The 20966-nt window shown below is 39.0% G+C and overlaps 1 protein-coding gene across 1 annotated transcript in view, besides 1 other annotated feature; it reads left to right on the top strand.

The window, feature by feature from the left end:
* The window catches only part of FBXO33 (F-box protein 33), a 34750-nt gene that overhangs the window by 875 nt on the left and 12909 nt on the right, over window positions 1–20966 (top strand). The window lies entirely within an intron of this gene.
* Window positions 8–137: a silencer, noted in NCBI's record as "silent region_5689". NCBI's record gives its function as "represses an Ori minimal core promoter by ATAC-STARR-seq in GM12878 lymphoblastoid cells {active_cell/tissue: GM12878}" and the evidence as "EXISTENCE:reporter gene assay evidence [ECO:0000049][PMID:35858748]".

Raw genomic sequence — 20966 nt, 5'->3', positions numbered from 1 at the left:
CTTGCCCTGAGCCCCGCCCCGCCCGGTAACGGGGGGTCGCTCCGTCCCCGCACCCCGACACAGATTCTGTGCATAATACGTGCCCGGCCAACTTCAGTGTTGCCTTCCTCAGTGACGGAGAGTGTTGGTTCTAACTAGGCGGTTTCCTTGAGCGGAAAGGCATAACGGGACTCATCACGATACTTTATAAACAGTGGTGGACGGGGTGTTTAACAGACACCACTTCTGGCGCCTTCCAGGCACTCATTCATCCTCTTGGTGGCCGTGGGATGGAGCTGACAGGCGCTGTCACTTTTCATTTTATATATGGGAGCGTTAAGACTGGGAGGGTGAGGCCTGTGGGTGAGCCTTGGAAGAAACAAAACATACACATAACACGATTTTCTGACTCTGAATCTGTTAGAAATAGTTCATGGTGAGGGAAGGAGTAGGTACTCATAGGACGCTGCCTAAAAGAAATTTTGTAACAGCCATTTTCTTACCAGAAATAGTTTCGGCTAACTGAACAAGGCCCGAAGAGGAGGAGGAGTGTTTGTTAAAGGGATTGGGGAAGAAGTTGATCTTCAGGGTTGAAAGTCCCTCCCCATACACCACCACACTCAACTTCTCCCCAGTAGTTCACCTAAAAGTAACAGTCGGGCGGAGGAGGCGGGCGGGCAGCGAGGGAGTTGGCCAGGGTCTGCAGAGGGTAAGCACATAACTGTTCTGGTTTTGCATCAGGACTTCACTGTAATTCCAGAACTAACGCCTTATATTCTGACCCAGTATCCCTCCCAATCATCATTTTTCTCCATCGCCACCTCCAAAACCCTATTAATTTAGATCTTCTTTATATGGATATTCTAAAGAACCTTACAGTAAAGCTCTTATTAGAAGAAAGTTTAGACGTTCACAAAAGGAGCACCTTACATAGTAAAAATACTTCAGCAGTTTCACATTCACTGTGTTGTTTGAGCCTCTCAGTGGCACTATGAGGCAGGGTAATGATAAATAACCCTGTTTTACAGAAAGGAAACTGACCCTTTATAGGATCAAGTGATTTGCACATTGCTGTACGGCATTGTTTTTCTCCGAAAGCGTGTCCTTTTGCAGTAAATATACTGAACATTATGTTGAACAAGGTTGAGAGCAGTCCCTGGTTTAATGCTAGGAGATATATATAGATATAAGGTTATATATATATATGTATGCGCCATTAATCTGTGTCTTAATTTAGAAGTCAAGAGATAAGTTATAGCTCCAAGTTGTATCTGGGATATGGCTCCATTATTCCAGTTGCCTGTGCGTTTCCACAGCTTTTCGCAAGACATTCTATTTCCTTACTTTGGTTTTATCTGGCAGGAGAGGCCATTGAAGCTAAAAACAGATTAGGTTAGAGACTTTCTCAGAGTTGAATGTATGGCTAGAGGACCAACTGACCCAAAAGTTGCAAAGTTTCAGTCAGTGAGCACTTACTAATGAGACCAAGGTTGAGGGTGAATTCAATGAGTGAGTACCAATTAGATTTTTCTGTACTGAGATCAAATTGCACTTTTATGCAACCATGCAAACACTGTATGTGCCTTTGACCCAAGTAAGAACAAGACTTGATAAGTGTCTAGTTCCTTTTAAGTATTTTAATAACTGGTTGGTTGGATGGGTGGATAACATACAGGCAAAATGGAGATATTTCACATCTTTGCTTTGTAGCTTAATTCTCCTGTCCTTCTCTTCCTTACCCCTACAATTTTTATTAGCATCCCAATCTGCTTCTCTATAAGGCCACCGATGCCTGCCCTTCTGGGTCAGCTATCACTTCTATGCAAAAACATCACACCCGTCATCCCTAATTTTAAGGTTTGCTTGTCATCTACTATTAGCATGGTGTTGTATGTCATGCTGCTTTGGTAGCATATTCATTCTGTTTGTCTCAAAATGTAGTGTAATTGCATGTTGTTTGTACTAATGATACATCAAAGGGTTTTTGGAAATAAGTTAATCTCATCTTTACTGTTGAAAGTGTTTTGAGATACTCTGTGATATTGGAAAAGTTAATATGAATATTAAATCCATAAATAAGACTAGTTTCCTTTAAATTTTAACAAATCTGAAAATGTTTTAAACCACATTGTTTATCAGTGACTAGTAAAGCCTATTATTTCTTTCTATAATCACTTAAACTATAGACTTGGGACATTTGACATTGCTCTTTACATTTCCAAGTTAAATTTACAATGGTTTTGCTTTATGATTTCTGCCATTCTATAAGTAGAAAAGAGGGGGTGTGAATCATACCAGATCATAAGCATTCTGCTTCCAGGCTTTGTGCTGAATTCCTTTATACAGTTCATACAATTCAGACTGTTATTTTGTTTTGTTCCAGTTATTTTCATGTCCCTCAGGAAAATAATTAAAAGTATAAACTTGAATTGTGTGAACTTTTCAAGGGTGCTGATCTTCAGAGAGGACAATTGGCATTTTGTTTTGCTTGGTTCCTGGGTTATATATATACATGTATTCTCATAGTGATTATAGTTGCCATACCTGTATCTTAGGTTTTAGGAACAACTAATAAGGATAAAGAAGGTGCATAAGTGCCTCTCTGAGGGTAACACACAGTCCTTCACGTTTCAGAAATTCCTTCTCTACAGGGCACTAGGATACCTGTCTTCTTCATTAATAGTAAGAACAGAGGGGCAGTAAGTACTCATTCAACTGTATTTTAGGTCACATAGGCTGAATTTCTCTGCAGTCGTTCTATAAGAAATTGTACCTAGAAGTGCAAACAACAAATAGATATAAATGCATTTTTAGCATTTAATCCAGTTGTCAGGTTGGGTACTGCCTATTAAAATGCTGTATTTCAGACTCCTTAGGAAAAACGAGAGCTCATGGTAAGATTTATGATAATAGGTAATAGACTCAGTCACTAAAAATACCTGAAGAGTAGCCATAGGCACATTGTCTTCATCTGGTTTATGCTTCTATGGGCTGTATAAATGTTTTACATAAGCTTTTCTTGGGTGGAATGCTGTTAGGGGCAGTACTTTTTTGTTGTTGTTGAGAATTCATATCGTTGGCCAGGGGTGGTGGCTCACACCTGTAATGACAGCACTTTCTGGGAGGCCGAGACGGGTGGATCACTTGAGGTCAGGAGTTCGAGACCAGCCTGGTCAATATGGCAAAACCCCATCTCTTTTAAAATACATAGCCGGGTGTGGCAGTGCATGCCTGTAATCCCAGCTACTCAGGAGGCTGAGGCAGTAGAATCGCTTGAAGTCAGGAGGCAGAGGTTGCAGTGAATAGAGATCGTGCTACTGCACTCCATCCTGGGTGACAGAGCCAGACTCCGTCTCAAAAAAAAATTTAAAAAAAAAGAATGCATATTGTAACAGACCAGAGAAATTTTGTACAAGATTGATTTTCTTTTTAAGATTCTGGGTACAGCTCTAACTGCTTGTATGTAGATTGACCATTTCATGACTGTGTCTGCTTATATATCCTGTAAGTTAAAAAGGATCTATTAATAATACTTAGATTTGGGTCTTGTTGATTTGGCATGCACAGTGAAGGAGAATCTTACCTTTGTATTGTTTCCTACCAAGAAACAATAATAAAGACATTTAAAAATATTTTGAGACAGAGTCTTGCTCTGTGACTCAGGATGGAGCAATCATGATCATAGCTCACTGCAGCCTCAAATTCCTGGGCTCAAATGATCCTCCCACCCCAGCCTCCCTAGTAGCTAGGACTACAGGCATGCACCACCATGCCTGGCTGATATATATATTTTTTTAATTTTGTGTAAAGACAGGATCTCACTGTGTTGCCCAGGCTGGTCTCTAATACCTGGCCTCATATGATTCTCCCATTTCTGCCTCCTAAGGTGCTGGGATTACAGGTGTGATCCCCTGCACCCTGCCTAAAAATGCATTTTAAAATGGGTTAAAAATTCCCTGGACATTTCAGATTACTACCTAAGATGGTAGAAAATGCCTTGAAGGTATTATCTCCAACAGTTTTTAGCCTTATTTTTCTTGAAATATTTCTCCTGTGGTAGTATAATAAATATGTCTAACAATGTTTCATCTCTGAGAGTTTACTTTGTTATTATTTACTTTAAAAAGCCCATTTACAGAATAAATATATTAAAATATACTGGGCCTGTGACCAATCTGCCCTGTTCAAGAATTAGTTTCCTGTGACACTGCATTCCCAGCAGGCTCCTTACCTAAAAACTGAAAAAGAGGCTCCTTAGGGATAGCCTCAAAGTTACTGAGAAGGAAAGCTAAAGAAACTAACCTCCTGGAAGGCTGTTATGAGAGGTTTTAGGACTTTTTATTCCACAGCTGTATTGGCAACTGATAGATGGAATAGGGTGTAAAACTCAAGGAAAAAAAAGTTAAAATTTTTTGACTGTGTTAAATGAGGGTGTTAAGCAGCTTTTGAGTGGAGTGATTAAATATCTCCATTTTAATTTGTTAGTTCTGAGGCAGCCTTGGGAGAGTTCACCAAACTTGACCAATTTATTTAGGAGCTAAAATGATAGTTATAGAAAATCTAGGGTTTTTTCCTCCAATTATTGAGAGCGTACTATGTGCCAGGCGGGGAAGACATGCTTCCCGTTCTCACGGAGTCATTCTAGAGGAGGAAGGAAGACAGAAACAAGTAGACAAAGGAAAGAAGGATTATTTCAGGTTGTGAAAATAAAATCTGAAAATAAAACAGAAGGATGTAATAGTCACTAGGTGGCAACATTAGGTAAAGTGTCAGGGAAACCTCTTTTGAGAAGGATATTTGAGCTGCAGCATGAATAACAAGCGTTGCCCATCTGAAGATCTGAGCAAATAGCATTCCACACACAAGAAACAGTAAGCGCTAAGGTCTTGAGCCAGACAAATTTTTGGTCTGTTCGAGCAGTGGAAAAGAAAGTGTGACAGGGCTGTGGCAAGTGAGGATGAAAATGATGCCATGATGAGTTCTGAGAAGTAGAAGAAGGAAGAATTGGGGTTAGGTAGGCTTATTTAATGAAGTTTGGAATATATTCCAAGGATAGAAGAAGTCACTGAAAAAAATTTTAAGGACAAGAATAATGTGATATCATTTGCATTTTAAGACAATCACCCTGGCCATTTTATGAGCGACTTAGGGACCAAGAGAGAAAGTAGGGGGACAAGTTGGGAAGCTTTTACTGTACTCTAAGCAAGAGATGATGGTAGCTTGAACTATGATGGAGGCAGGAGAGATGAAAAAAAGTGGATGGATTTTGGAAGTATAGCCCAGAGTACTCACCAGTTAGATGTGGGTAGTAAGACAAAAGGAAAAAACAATATTTTTTCATCATTTCTTTCTCACTCGATTTTCTTGTCCTTATTATTGTTAAAATTATCTTTTAATAGCATGTTAAAAAAATAAATATGAAAAAATAAAATAAAAAATAAATAAATAAATAATTTTTAAAAATAGCATGTTAAATAACAACCGCAAGTGTTCATTTTATTTAAATACACCTTTTGTGTGTAACCTTCGGGATTTGGGGATGGTAGTTATTCTTAGATTAGGGGATGGTAATTCTTAGATGGAATTGTAAGTTCTGGGAAATAACTTCTGGTTAATGGGTCCCAAAGCTAATACGGAGTACTGTTATAGGCCGGTTATTTATTTCTGGGTTCTAATGTTGTACTGTCAAATATGGCAGCCAGTAGCTACAGATAGCTATTTAAATTTTAAATAGATAAAATTAAAGACCCCATTAGTTCCACTAGCCACATTTCGAGCGCTCAATAGTCACATATGGCTAGTGACTGCTATATTGTACAACAAAGAATAGTACACTTCCATCCATAGAAGAAAACTACTGGACAACACATCTCTAAACTATTTGTGTTCGTTTGATTTGGCTATGACCGTTCATTAGCATTTTTGAGGAAAGGAAATAATGTTATTAAAAAAGTATAATGTGGATGTTAAAACATGATACTGAAAGTGGACTAAGAAGAATAGAACCAGCCCAAGAGAATTTCATGCAATGATGGTGGATTATTTTAGCTTTTATTAATTTAAAAAAGGAAAAAAGTTATATGTCATTATCTCTTTTATGGCATTGGAAAAGATTTTAATGTTTTTAAGAGCATCTTTTTAAAGAACCATGTTCTTTTATGTTTCCATAACTAATTCTTCTTAGCTGTAATAACTCTTAAGGTGGCTGCATTTTGCATTTTTCTATTGTTCCTGTGTATTAAATCAAAGAAATAATTTTGGATCCTCTGGAATGAAAAGAAACTTAACAAAGTTTACTACCATAGATGAAGTTCCCCAATTCTGACCCACAGAAGAGAGAACAAGGTCATCAGGCCTGAAATCTCAAGCACTGGGTCACAATTGTGCTAAACAGTCCTAACAGGAGTCTGAGAAGAATAATAAGACAATAAAAAATTGTGATGGTTGTTTAATTCATAAGGAAATTCTTGTGCAGTATAGAAAACAAGATATCTCATTTCAGTGGAATTTTAATAAACTTTTTTTTTTTGAGATGGAGTCTCACTCTCTCACCAGGCTGGAGTGCAGTGGCATGATCTCGGCTCACTGCCACCTCTGACTCCCAGGTGGAAGCGATTCTCCTGCCTCAGCCTCCCAAGTAGCTGGGATTACAGGATGCACCACCACGCCCAGCTAATTTTTGTATTTTTAGTAGAGACGGGGTTTCACCATATTGGCCAGGATGGTCTCAATCTCCCAACCTCATGATCCGCCTGCCTTGGCCTCCCAAAGCGCTGGGATTACAGGCCTGAGTCACTGCACCCAGCCTTAACATACATACTTAAGTTGTATGTTTTCTATTTTCTGTTTCCACAGCTAATTAGACTTAGCTATATTAACTCTCATATAAGGTAGCTGCATTTTGCGGTTTTCCACTGGTTCTATTTACTACGTCAAAGAAATAATTGAGAATGGGATTTTTAGTTTTCTGGGAAAATATGTTGTTTCAGAGGGATTCCTAATGTATAATGTAACTGAAAACTGGTCTGCCCCCTAAATTTGTGGTGTGTGAGATGTAGCTAAATAGACTTTAATTTTTTTTATAAACTAAGGTAAATACACTATTCAACAAATATTTTTGAATGCCAGACCCTGTGTTAGTATTTGGAGATATAGCAATAATCAAAAGGCCCTGCCATCATAGAGCTTTTTCTTATGGAAAAGAAGACAGAAAACACGTTAAGTGAAATTACAGTATCTCAGTTGGTAATATATGCTACGAAGAAATATAAAGCAGTGAAGGGAGATGGGAATGGTGGACTTAGGAGTGTTGCTATTTAAAATAGGGAAGTTAAGGAGGGTCTCAACTACTGAAGTGGTATTTGAAGGTAGGGAGGGAGCAAGCCAGGTGTCTCTTTGGGGCAAGTGATTCCAGACAGAAGTAGCAGTAAGTGGAGTAGCTCTGTAGTGCAAGTATGACTGGCATGTTTTAGAGACAGCATGGTGAAGACCATTATCCTAAGCTAACACAGAAACGGAAAACCAAATACCGCATGTTCTCACTTATAAGTGGGAGCTAAACATTGAGTACACGTAGTTATAAAAATAGAAACAATAGACACTGGGGAATACAAGACTGGAGAGGGAGGCAGCAGGGTAAGAGTTGGATACTATGCTCACTACCTGGGTGATGGATTCATTTTTACCTCAGACCTCAGTATTACACAATATACCTTTGTAACCTGTACATGTGCCCCCAGATTCTAAAATAAAAGTTATTTTAACTTTTTAAAAAGAAACAGAACATTACTAGAGCCCTAGAAGTTCCCTTTGTGACCCCTACCAGTTACCACTCCCTTTCCTCAAAGGTAACCATTATCCTGACTTAACACTGTGGGTTAGTTTTACCTCTTTTTGGACTTCATATAAGCAAGATTATACAGTATGTTATCTTTAGAATCTGACCTCTTTTGCTCAATGTTGTATGTCTGAGACCTCACTATAATAGTTGTTCATTAATTTTTATTGATGATTAGACTGTAATTTATCTATTCTATTGCTGATGGACATTTGAATTTTTTCCAGTTTTTGTATTTAATGATCATTGCTGCTATCTGCATACATATTTGTGCACTTCTTTTTAGTGCATTTAATGTAGGCATTCATATTGGGCTTATACCTAGGAATGAAATTTCTGGATCATACCGTATACATATGCTCAGCTTTAGTAGAAATAACCAAAAAGCTTTTCAAAACGGGTTGTCCATTTGATACTCTCATTGGTAATATATATGAGTTCCAGTTTTTCCACAGTTACTAACATGTTAGCAAGTGTCAGTGTTTTTAATTCAAGTGTATTATATTGTACTTTTAATTTGTATTTCTCTGATAACTTTTTGTATGTCCTAAATGAGTCCTTTGATAGTTCTGAGTATTACAAAATTCTCCCTTTCATTATATTAAGCTTTTTGTTTTTTTTGAGATGGAGTCTCACTCTGTCACCCAGGCTGGAGTGCAGTGGTATGGTCTCAGCTCACTGCAACCTCCGCTTCCCAGGTTCAAGCAGTTCTCCTGCCTCAGCCTCCCGAGTAGCTGGGACTACAGGCACACGCCACCACACCTAGCTAATTTTTGTATTTTTAGTAGAGACAGGGTTTCACTATGTTGGCCAGACTGGTCTCGAACTCCTGACCTTGTGGTCCACCCGCCTTGGCTTCCCAAAGTGCTAGGATTACAGGCATGAGCCACTGCACCCGGCCTTAAGCATTTTTTAATATTCAGAAGTTCTTAATTTTAAAAAATTCCAATTTGACATTTTGTTCCTTTATGGGTAGAGATTTTTGTGTTCTACTGAAACAAAAACTTTGTTAGAAAAAAATCTGCAAAGTCAAAAAGATATTGTCTTATGTCACCATTTAGAAGCTTTATTGTTTTACACTCTACCTAGTAATAAATTCTTATGAAGGGTGAAAAAAGAAAAAGACACAGCATGGAAAGCAATGAAATGTAGAAGAAGTCAGCCAGGTAAGGAGGAAGGTGATAAGGAAATCTGTAGGCACTTGTGAGGCTCTTGTAAGGACTTTGACTTTTACTCTTAGATGAGGTGTCATCAGAGAGTTTTGAGCAAAGACAGTGATGTGATCTGACATTTCAAAAGGAACAGTCTGGCTACTGTGTTGGGAATAGCTTGTAGTAGGGCAAGGGTGGAAGCAATGAGCAGAGTTAGGAGATTGTTGCAGTAATCCAGGCAAGAAGTAATGGTGGCTTAGACCAGGGCATGAGCAACAGAAGTGATGAGTAGTATGATTCTGTTTATTTTGTTTTTTGTTTTATTATTTTATTGGAGATGGAGTCTAGCTCTGTTGCCCAGGCTGGAACACAGTGGCACAATATTGGCTCACTGCAACCTCCGCCTCCCAGCTTCAAGCACTTCTCCTGCCTCAGTCTCCCGAGTAGCTGAGACTACAGGCACACGCCACCAGGCCTGACTAATTTTTGTGTTTTTAGTAAAGACGGGGTTTCACCATGTTGCCCAGGGTGGTCTCGAACTCCTGAGCTCAGGCAATCCACCTGCCTCAGCCTCACAAAGGGCTAGGATTACAGGCGTCAGCCACTGTGCCTGGTCTGTATTTATTTTTATCTGGAGGTTTTCTAGAAGTGGAATAAAGTACAAAGAATTAGATATGATGTTCTAACATTACAATGCCCTTCTAATTGCTATTCCCTAAATACATCTAAAAATATTTTTCCCCTTTTTGGTTATTCTTACTCGTGCGTGTGTTTGTGTGTGTGTGTGTGTGTGTGTGTGTGTGTGTGTGTGATTTGTACTCAAATAGCTAGGGTTTGGATACAGTTTATTATGTGAAAACATAACTTACTTTGTTGTTTAACTCATTTATCACCAAGCACTTGTACAGCAGTGTTCTGTTCATATCATGTTATATAAATTTGGGTTAGTCTGTTTAATTGCTCCCAGAAACTTTGTGGTCTTCCTTACTATGGTCACCTGAAATTTTTATTTTTCTTCTTTTTTCTCTTTGACTTTTCTGCTTCGTATAAACTCATTATGCCCTGAAATTTGCCTAGGTCTAACCTTCATATGAGCTATGGACTCATATGAAGTCCATATGTGGTAGGACTGAGCAGAAAGGAAGAAGCCAGTGGTACTCCCTATGCTGATTTTTCCCTCCCCTTGCATCCAAATCAGTGGTCTAATCACCTGTGGTACTAGACCAAGGTAAATATGTCTTTCCATGTAGATGCTCATCACGTATACTCCTTAAGGTGAACAAAAAAAGGGAAGAAATAAGGGCCAGAGTTGGGCTACCTTTTAATCTGGTTTGTTATTCAACTGTTGCTGGTAACTTCAAAAATGAATCCTACTTTTCAAAACCTCAAAAGGAGAATTTTTGTTCAAGGAAAAGAAGAAACATAGTCACCTGAGGCAAGAGTCTTTGATCTTAATGCCACCTTCTCAAGCCACCCACCTTCATACCGATGTCCTATTAGAATCTACACATAGACCACAGGAGTCACCACCAGGGTCACAGGGCTGGGTAATGCCTGTTCATAGTGCCATGCTTCAGAGGGCGGAGTGGATGTGTTCTTGACATCCCCTAAAATCCTAAACCAGCTTTCCTATATTAACAGCAGTATTCAGCAACTCTAGGAGTTAGGCTTCTCTATTATTTCTATTTTACAGATGGTGAAACTGAAGCACAGAGTAAGTGAAATTATTAGGGTTCCACAATTAGAGAAGTGACTGCCTTGTTTTCTAATTTTACTTGTGAAATTTTTAACACACACTAAAACTAGACACATGAACCCCCATTAATACCATCACCCAGATTCAGTAATTTGAAGATTTTTGAAGATTTTACCACATTTGCTGCTTGCTTGCTTTTTTTTTTGAGACAGAGTTTCGCTCTGTCCCCCAGGCTGGAGTGCAGTGACGCAATCTCGGCCTACTGCAAGCTCTGCCTCCTGGGTTCACGCCATTCTCCTGCCTCAGCCTCCCAAGTGGCTGGGACTACATACAGGTGCCCACCACCACGCCTGGCTAATTTTTTGTATTTTTAGTAGAGACGGGGTTTCACCGTGTTAGCCAGGTTGGTCTCGATCTGACCTCGTGATCCGCCCGCCCCGGCCTCCCAAAGCGCTGAGATTACAGGCGTGAGCCACCGGCGCCCAGCCGCTTTCTTCTGCACTGAAGTATTTTAAAGCAATTCCCAGATATCATTGCCATTTTACCTTTACTAAAGTATGCAGGTCTGAAAATTATGGACATTTCTATGTATAACCACAATACCATTGATAACAGAGTTATCAGTAATTCCTTGGTATCATCTGATTTTTAAAACCAAGTTTATTTTTAAAACCTTTATTTCTACTCCAAGAATCTAATAAGCCCACAGATATTTAGAACTTAACCACCATAACTTTTCATGTCATTGGCACACAATATACATATTTTAGTAATTAAATAAGCAAAAAGTAGGAGAGCAGTCTGTAGGCTGTTTCTAAGTTGTAAGTGCTTAAGGATGTGCTTTAGCTCGAGATCTGGAACTCATTACTTTTAAAAATACTGTTAAGGACAAAATTAAGTAGAAGAAATTCATTCTCTTTTGATGATAGTATATGGCCTTTTGCATGCTTTAGAAAGATTATCAAGCACTGTTTATGACTTTGTGATATTTCACAACACATTTTAGGATTTACATAGGGACTAGTAAATAGCTTATATCCTATCAGTATTACCAAAGGAATCAAAGTACATTAATTTGAAGAATTAAGATGAAAGAAGAAACTTTCTAGCCAACTGTAATATTTTTCCAGTATTTTTTGTTACATGTCTTTTAAGCAAGTGTTATTTGTGGACATTCTGCGGGAAATAACCCTATTGATTTCTTTAGTTCACTTGCTATTCAACAATAAATAAATGAATGAGTAAATAAACTCAGGTTACTGAGTTCACCTTAATTAAAAGGATTATGTAGCACAATTCCCTTATTTATTACTGGTGTAGTCTCCTGGCCTCAAAATGAGACATCTGTTTATTACCACAGCCCAGTAGGTTCTGTTCCAGTGTTGCTGCCTAGATGTTCTTCTCAGTCTCTTTACTATCTGAAACAATAATGAGCCACCTAGAGGCTATATGCAGTTTCCTTGGCTTTACCATGTGGTCTATAATCTAATTTCAACACCATGTATTTGAAAGCTGCCCTTGAGTTGTCATTTTTTTTATGGTTTTCTAACTTTTAAAGTTACTGTTTTCCATATCACTTAATACATTTTCATTTTGAATTGAAAAATAAGTACCTAAAAGCGTTTTTTGCAAATGTTCATCCTATACTGCTCTGAAATACGTGAGTTATAATTTTTCCTATCACTTGAATGAAAGCATTGTATTCAAACACCTGGGTTAATTACAAGAAATATCACTTAGTGGAAGTTAAAACCTCGATTCTCTACCTTGCTGTACTTTAGTGTTGTAGTCTGAAACAGGTCACTTCAATTTCTTCATCTACAACAGGAGAGGAATGAATTCGATAATCCCACAAATCTTCTGGCTTTAAAAGTATATCTCTCATTACATATATAGGGAAAGTTTGTGCATGTATTGTGAACCATACTGTAAAGGGATTATTACCATTTTGTTGCTGCAATTAGAATTTTTGTTCAGTTCCCTTTGAATGGCATATTTCTAACATTGGTAGAACATTTTAAATTATTATATAGCTGGAACTATTCCAGAGAGTATCTTTACATTAACTTGTTAAGTTTTACTGTGATGCAGTTTGTTTTTTTTTTGTTTTTTTTTTTTTTTGAGACGGAGTCTCGCTTTGTCACCCAGGCTGGAGTGCAGTGGCGCGATCTCGGCTCACTGCAACCTCTGCCTTCCGGGTTCACGTCATTCTCCTGCCTCAGCCTCCCGAGTAGCTGGGACTACAGGGACCCGCCACCACGCCTGGCTAATTTTTTGTATTTTTAGTAGAGACGGGGTTTCACCTTGTTAGCCAGGATGGTCTCAATCTCCTGACCTCATGATCCACCTGCCTCAGCCTCCCAAAGTGTTGGGATTACAGGCCTGAGCCACTGCGCCCAGCTGCAGTTTGTTAATTTTTTTAACGATTTTGAAGTAAATTAAGTTCTTATGAACTTAAAGGCTATGTAAAGCAAATTTGACATGTTTTTCTGAGTTCTTAAGTAATATGTGCTTGTAATAATAGAAAATTTGAGGCTGGGCACAGTGGCTCCGGCCTGTAATCCCAGCACTTTGGGAGGCTGAGGCAGGCGGATCACGAGGTCAGGAGATCGAGACCATCCTGGCTAACACGTTGAAACCCCATCTCTACTAAAAACACAAAAAATTAGCCGGGTGTGGTGGCAGGCACCTGTAGTCCCAGCTACTCGGGAGGCTGAGGCAGGAGAATGACGTGAACCCGGGAGGCGGAGCTTGCAGTGAGCAGAGATCGCGCCACTGCATTCCAGCCTGGGTGACAGAGCAAGACTCCATCTCAAAAAAATAATAATAATAATAGAAAATTTGAAAATTACAAAAAAAAAGTCCACCAGATATGATCACTGGGTAAAATGTGATGCATCCTTCTACAAAATTGGGATAACAGTCTGTGTATGGTTTTATACCTTTTTCCATTGATTATATCATGTATTTTTTCACATACTCAAAAATCCTGTCATGAGGGCACGATGACAGAGTAGGAAGTCCTAGCCTTTGCTCTCCCATAGAAACATCAAGATAACAATACTTGGGCCAGGCGTGGTGGCTCACGCCTGTAATCCCAGCACTTTGGGAGGCCGAGGCGAGTGGATCATGAGGTCAGGAGTTCAAGACCAGCCTGGCCAACATGGTGAAACCCCATCCCTACTAAAAGTACAAAAATTAGCTGGGCATGGTGGTGCATGCCTGTGGTCCCAGCTACTTGGGAGGCTGAGGCAGGAGAATTGCTTGAACCCAGGAGGTGGAGGTTGCAGTGAGCCAAGATCGTGCCATTGCACTCCAGCCTGGGCAACAGAGCAAGACTCTGTTTCAAAAAAAAAAAATAACAATACTTGTACTAAAATACCTTTATAAGAAATGCAGAATCCAGTTAATAAGTTGTAGCACCCAGCCACATACATAACTGAGAAACCATGATAGGTAAGGAGAGCAAATTCACTTTGCCCACATCAGCTTCTCCCGCAAACTAGCTTAGTTCAGAGCAAAGAGAATCACCCATGACTTCTCCCACATTGGGAAAGGAAAGAATGGAGCTTGCACTTGGCCATCTGGCCTCCTGGCATTTCAGTGCACCCCTGCCAATTTCTGTCTCACCTCATATCCAGTGCTGAAAAACTGATAGAGCCCAGATGCCTGAAACAACTGAGAACAAAAGAAGGGTGAGTGGCCTCCTACAGATGGCACTGTTCTGCAAGATTGGGAAAAGGCTTGGAACCTTTCCCTTTAGGAGGGAAATGAAGTGAGCCTTGTCTCTAACCTTTCAGTGTGGTACCCAAAGGGCTCGTTTCCATCTCAATTCATGCCACCTACTAAAGGACTGGTGGAGCCTGGATGCCTGTGACAACTAGGAATAAAGGGAAATGAGTGGGTACCCTCTACAGCAAACAGTACTCTGTGAGACTGGAAAAAGTACTGTTTCTTCAAAGGCACAGACAACAATGCAGCCATACAAGGAACATGGAAAATCAAGAAAACATGACAGAATCTAAGGAAGAAAATAATTCTTTAGTAACCAATTTAAAAAAAAGTGGATGTATTAATTACCTACAAAGAATTTAAATTAATCCTCTTAAAGAAGCTCACTGAGTTACATGAAAACACTGGTAGAAAACTAAATGAAATCAGGAAAAGAATATATGAGCAAAGTAAGGATATTAACAAAGGGAAACAATAAAAAAGAAACAAATACTGGTGCTGAAGAATACAGTAACTGAACCGAAAAATTGACTACAGGAGTTCAATAAGCAGCTGACAATCGATCAAGCAGAAGAAAGAATCGAAAACAGGTCATTTTTGAAATTATCAAATTAGCAGAGCAAAATAAAAAGAATGAAAAGGAGTGAAGCTGTGGAATTCAATCAAGCAAAGATAAGGAATGGACAACCCAGAAGTAGAAAAGGAGCAGAAAGCTGTTTCAAGAAATAATGAGTGAAAATTTCCCAAATCTGGTGAGGGAAATGGATATTCAGATTCATGAAGGTCAAAGAGTGCCAAACAGGATGAACCCAAAATGGTCTACACCAACACATATTATAATCAAATTGTCAAAAATCAAAGACATAAAGGTAAGTGAGATAAGCGCTGAAAGAAAAGAAAAAAAAAACTGTCAACCAAGAATAGTGTACCCAGCAAAGCTATCCCTCAGAAATGGAGTGAAAGATTTTACCAGATAAACAGAAGCTAAAGGAGTTTAATCATTTCTAGAACTGCCTTACAAGAAATGCTAATGGGAGTTCTTCAACATGAAACAAAGGAACAATAAATAACACAAAGCATATGACAGTAAAAAACTCACTAGTGAATATATAAACAAATAGAGAATAATATTGTATTGTACTACTGGTTAATAAATCACTGTAACTCTGATATAAATGTTAAAAGCCAATGGTATTAGGCCGGACACCATGGCTCACACCTGTAATTCCAGCACTTTGGGAGGCCAAGGCAGGTGGATCACCTGAGGTCAGGAGTTCAAGACCAGTGTGACCAACATGGTGAAACCTTGTCTCTACTAAAAATACAAAAACTAGTCGAGCATGGTAGGGGGTACCTGTAAACCGAGCTACTTGGGAGGCTGAGGCAGGAGAATCACTTGAACCTAGGAGGCAGAGGTTGCAGTGAGCCGAGATCACACCACTGCACTCCAGCCTGGGCAACAGAGCAAGACTCTGTCTCAAAAAAAGAAAAAGCCAACAGCATGAAGAATAACTCCAATAATTAATTGGTGGATATGTAATATTAAAATACATAAATTAGAACATCAGTAGCAACGTATGCAGGAGCAAATGTGTACAGTTTTTGCATACAATTATATTATTATCTTAAAATGCACTATTATATATACCACATGGTAATCATACAGCAAAAACACATACAGGCATACCTTGTTTTGTTATGATTCATTTTATTGCACTTCACAGATATTATGTTTTTTTTACAAATTAAGTTTGTGGCAACCCTGCATCAAGCAACTATATTGGCACCATTTGTCCAATATCATGTGCTCACATTGTGTTTCTTGTTATATCTTTGTTGTTCTTGTTGTTGTCGTCGTCATTTTCTAGAAACAGTGTCTTGCTCTGACACCCGGGGTGGAGTGCAGTGGCATGATCATGGGTAATGGCAGCCTCACCTCCTGGGCTAAAGAGATCCTCACCTTGGCTTCCCAGAGTGCTTGGATTACAGATGTAAACCACCACACTGAGCCCACCCTTGTTATATCTGATATGATCTGTTATCAGTAATCTTTGATGTTACTATTGTAATCATTTTGGTGCCCCACGAACCACACCTGTAGAAAATAGCTAATTTAATTATAAATTGTGTGTGTGTTCTGACTACGGACCAGCCCTTCCCCCATTTCTTGCCCTCACATTGAGCTGCCCAAATCCCTAAGAGATAATAATATTGAAATTAGGCCAATTACAGTTGCCCACACCTGTAATCCCAACAGCAGGAAGATCACTTGAGCACAGGAGTTTAAGACCAGCCTGGGGAACATAGACCCCCATCCCTACAAAATATTTTAAAATTAGCTGGGCATAGTGGTGTGCACCTGTGTTCCCATCTACTTGGGAGGCTGAGGTGGGAGGATCACTTGAACCTGGGAAATCAGAGCTACAGTGAGCTGTGATTGCACCACTGCACTGCAGCCTGGGCAACAGAGCAAGACCCTGTCTCAGAAAAGAAAGAAAGAAAAAATTAGGCTTATTAATAACTCTACGGTGACCTCTAATTGCTAAGTGAAAGGAAGAGTCCCACGTCTCTCACTCCAAGTCAAAAGCTAGAAATGATTAAGCTTCATAAGGAAGGCACTTCAAGAGCCCAGATAGACCAGAAACTAGGCCTCTTGTACCAAACAGGCAAGTTGTGAATGCAAAGGAAAAGTTTTTGAAAGAAAGTATAAGTGGTACTCCATCTATCACATGAGTGATAAGAAAGGGAAATGGCCTTATTACTGATAAAGTTTTGGTGGTCTGGATAGAAGATGAAACTAGCCACAACATTCCCTTAATCCAAAGTCTAATCCAGAGCAAGGCTCTAATGCTCTTCAAGTCTGTGAAGGCTGAGAGAGGTGAGGAAGCTGCAGGAGAAAAAGCTTGAAGCTAGTAGAGGTTGGTTCATGAGGTTTAAAGAAAAAAGTCACCTCCCTGAAAATGCAAGCTGAATCAGCAGGTGCTGTCGTGGAAGCTGCAGAAGATCTAGTTAAGGTCATTGATGAATGTGGTTACAGTAAACAACAGATTTTTCAGTGTAGACAAAACAGCCTTCTATTGCAAGAAGATACCATCTAGGACTTTGATAGCTAGAGACAAGCCAATACCTGACTTTAAAAGCGTCAAAAGACAGGCTGACTCTCGTTAGAGGTTAATGCATCTGGTCACTTTAAGTTGAAGCCAGTGCTCATTTGCCATTCCAAAAGTCCTAGGGCCCTTAAGAATTATGCTAAATCTACTCTGCCTGTGCTCCATAAGTGGAACAACATAGCGTGGATGATAGCACATCTGTATACAGCATGATTTACTGAATATTTTAAGCCCACTTTGGAGAGCTACTGCTTACAAAAAGGTTCCTTTTAAAATTACATCTCATCGACAATGTACATGGTCACTCAAGAGCTCTGGTGCAGATGAACCAGGAGATTCATGTTGTTTTCATGCTTGCGAACACAGCATCTGTTCTGCAGCCCATGGATCCAAGAGTTAATTTTGACTTTCAAGTCTTATCATTTAAGGAATACATTTTACAAGATTATAGCTGCCATAGATAGTGATTTCTCTGGTGGATCTTGGAAAAGTAAACTGAAAACCTTATAAAAACGATTCACCCATTCTAGATGCCATTCAGAACATTCATGATTCATGGGAGGAGATCAAAATATCAACATTAACAGGACTTTGTAAGAGATTGATTCCAGCACTCATGGATCATTTGAGGAGTTCAAGACTTCAGTGTAGGAAGTCACTGTAGATGTGGTGAAAATTGCAAGAGAACTAGAATTGGAAGTGGAGCCTGAAGATTTGACTAAATTGCTACAATCTCATCATAAAACTGGAATGCATGAGAAGTTGCTTTTTATGGATGAACAAAGTGGTTTTTGAGATTAGAATCTACTTCTAATGAAGATGCTGTGAATGTTGTTGAAATTATAACAACAGAGACTTTAGAATATTCCGTAAACTTAGCTGATAAAGTAGCAGCAGAGTTTAAGGGGATTGAGTCCAATTGTAAAAACAATCTCTCCTGTGGATAAAAAGCTATTAAGCAGCATAGCATGCTACAGAGAAATCTTTCATGAAAGGAAGTCAACAGATGCAGCAAACTTCATTGTCTTATTTTAAGAAATTGCCAGTCACTCCAGCCTTCAGCTATCACCCTGATCAGTGAGTAGCCATCCGATATTGGGACAAGGCATTCTATCAGCCAAAGATTACAACTTGCTGAAGACTCAGGTGATTGTTAGCATTTTTTAGCAATAAAGTGTTTTTTACCTAAGGTATATGTATTGCTTTTTTAGACATAACGCTGTTGCACACTTAATAAACTACATTACAGTGTAAACATTACTTTTATGTTAACTTGAAAAACAAAAAATTGTGTGACTTTCTTTATTTCAATATTCACTTTATTGCAGTGGTCTGGAAGTAAACCTGCAATATCTGCAAGTTATGCCTGTGGTAGATACACAAAAGATAAATACATAGCACTACAAAAAAATCATCAAATCACAAAGGAAGACAGCAAGAGAAGAAAGGAATGAAAAAAACTACGAACAAAATGACGATAGTAAGTCTTTACCTATTATTAATTACTTTAAATATAAATGGATTAAATTCCATCACCAAAAGTCATTGAGTGGCTGAATGAATTAAAAAACAGGATCCAACCATGTGCTGCCTGTAAGACACTCAGCTTTAAGGACAAATACAGGGTGAAAGCGGGGAAATGAGAAAAGATACTCCATGCAAATAGTAATTAAAAGAGCAGGAGTGTCTATACTTATATCTTAGAAAATAGACTTTAAGTCAAAAACTGACACAAGAGACAAGGTCATTATAGAATGATAAAAGGGTCAGTCAGGAAGACAAAACAATTATAAATATATATGCATCCAGTATGAGGGCACCTAAATATGTAAAGCAAATATTAACATACCTGAAGTGAAAAATAAACAACAATACAATAATAAAATAAGACATCAAGACACAACTCTCAACAATGGATAAATCATCTGGACAGAAAATCAGTGAGGAAACACTGGATTTTAACCAAACTATGGGCCAAATGGACCTAACAGACATATACAGAACATTCCATCCAACAACAGCAGAATACACATTCTTCTCAAGCACACATGGAACATTCTCCAGGATAAATCACATGTTAGGCTACAAAACAAGTCTTAACAAATTTAAGAAGATTGAAATCATGTCAGATATCTTTTCTGACCACAATAATATAAAACTGGAAATCAATAAAAGGAAAATTTACAAATATATGGAAATTAAACAGTCAATAAATATTAAAAGGGAAGTCAAGGCCAGGTGCCAGTGGCTCACGCCTGTAATCCCAGCACTTTAGAAGGCCAAGGCGGGCGGATCACGAGGTCAAGAGATCGAGACCATCCTGACCAACATTGTGAAACCCTGTCTCTACTAAAAATACAAAAATTATCTGTGCATGGTGGCATGCACCTGTAGTCGCAGCTACTCGGGAGGCTGAGGCAGGAGAATCGCTTCAACCCGGGAGGCAGAGTTTGCAGTGAGCCAAGATCTGGCCACTGCGCTCCAGCCTGGGTGACAGTGCGAGACTCTTGTCTCAAGAAAAAAAAAGGGGGGGGAAGTCAAATAATATCTTGATACAAATAAAAATAAAAAACAACTTACCAAAACTTATAGCAAGTGGCAAAAGCAATACTAAAAGGAAAATTTATAGCAAAAAATGCCCTATGTTAAGAAAGAAGAAAAAGGCCAGGCGCAGTGGCTCACACCTGTAAGCCCAACATTTTGGGAGGCCGAGGCATACAGATCATGAGGTCAGGAGTTTGAGACCAGCCAGGCCAACATAGTGAAACCCTGTCTCTACTACTACAAAAAATTAGTTGGGTGTGGTGGTGGTCGCCTGTAATCCCAGCTACTTAGGAGGCTGAGGCGGGAGAATCGCTTGAACCTGGGAGGCGGAGGGTGCAGTGAGCCAAGATCACACCACTGCACTCCAGCCCTGGCGACAGTGCAAGACTCTGTCTCAAAAAAAAAGAAAAAAGAAAAATTTCATACAACGTAACTTTAAACCCTAATGAATTAGAAAAACAATGTTCAAAGCCCCAAGTTAGCAGAAGAAAGGAAATAATAAATATTACAGCAGAAATAAATACAGACTAGAAAAAGCGGTAGTAAGGACTAACAAAGCTGGGCATTGCTTTTTGAAAAGGTAAACAAAATTGACAAACCTTTAGAGTAAGAAAAAAGACTCGAAGTGAAAGAGGAGACATTACAACTGATGCCACAGAAATACAATAAGATTATAAGAGACTCCTGTGAGCCTTCATTTCCAACAAATTGAATAATCTAGAAGAATAAATAAATTCATAGAAACATAAACCTTCCAAAACTGAATCATGAAGGAAATATAAAATACCATCAGACCAATAGCAAATGAGAGTGAATCCATAATTATTAAAAACCTTCCCCCAAAAAAGAAAAGCCCAGGACTGGATGGCTTCACAGGTGAATTCTACCAAATATTTGAAGAAGAATTAATGCCAGTC

This window comes from Homo sapiens, chromosome 14 (genome assembly GCF_000001405.40).
Source record: "Homo sapiens chromosome 14, GRCh38.p14 Primary Assembly".
Taxonomy (NCBI): Eukaryota; Metazoa; Chordata; class Mammalia; order Primates; family Hominidae; genus Homo; species Homo sapiens.
This window is presented reverse-complemented; position numbering and strand designations above follow the sequence as displayed.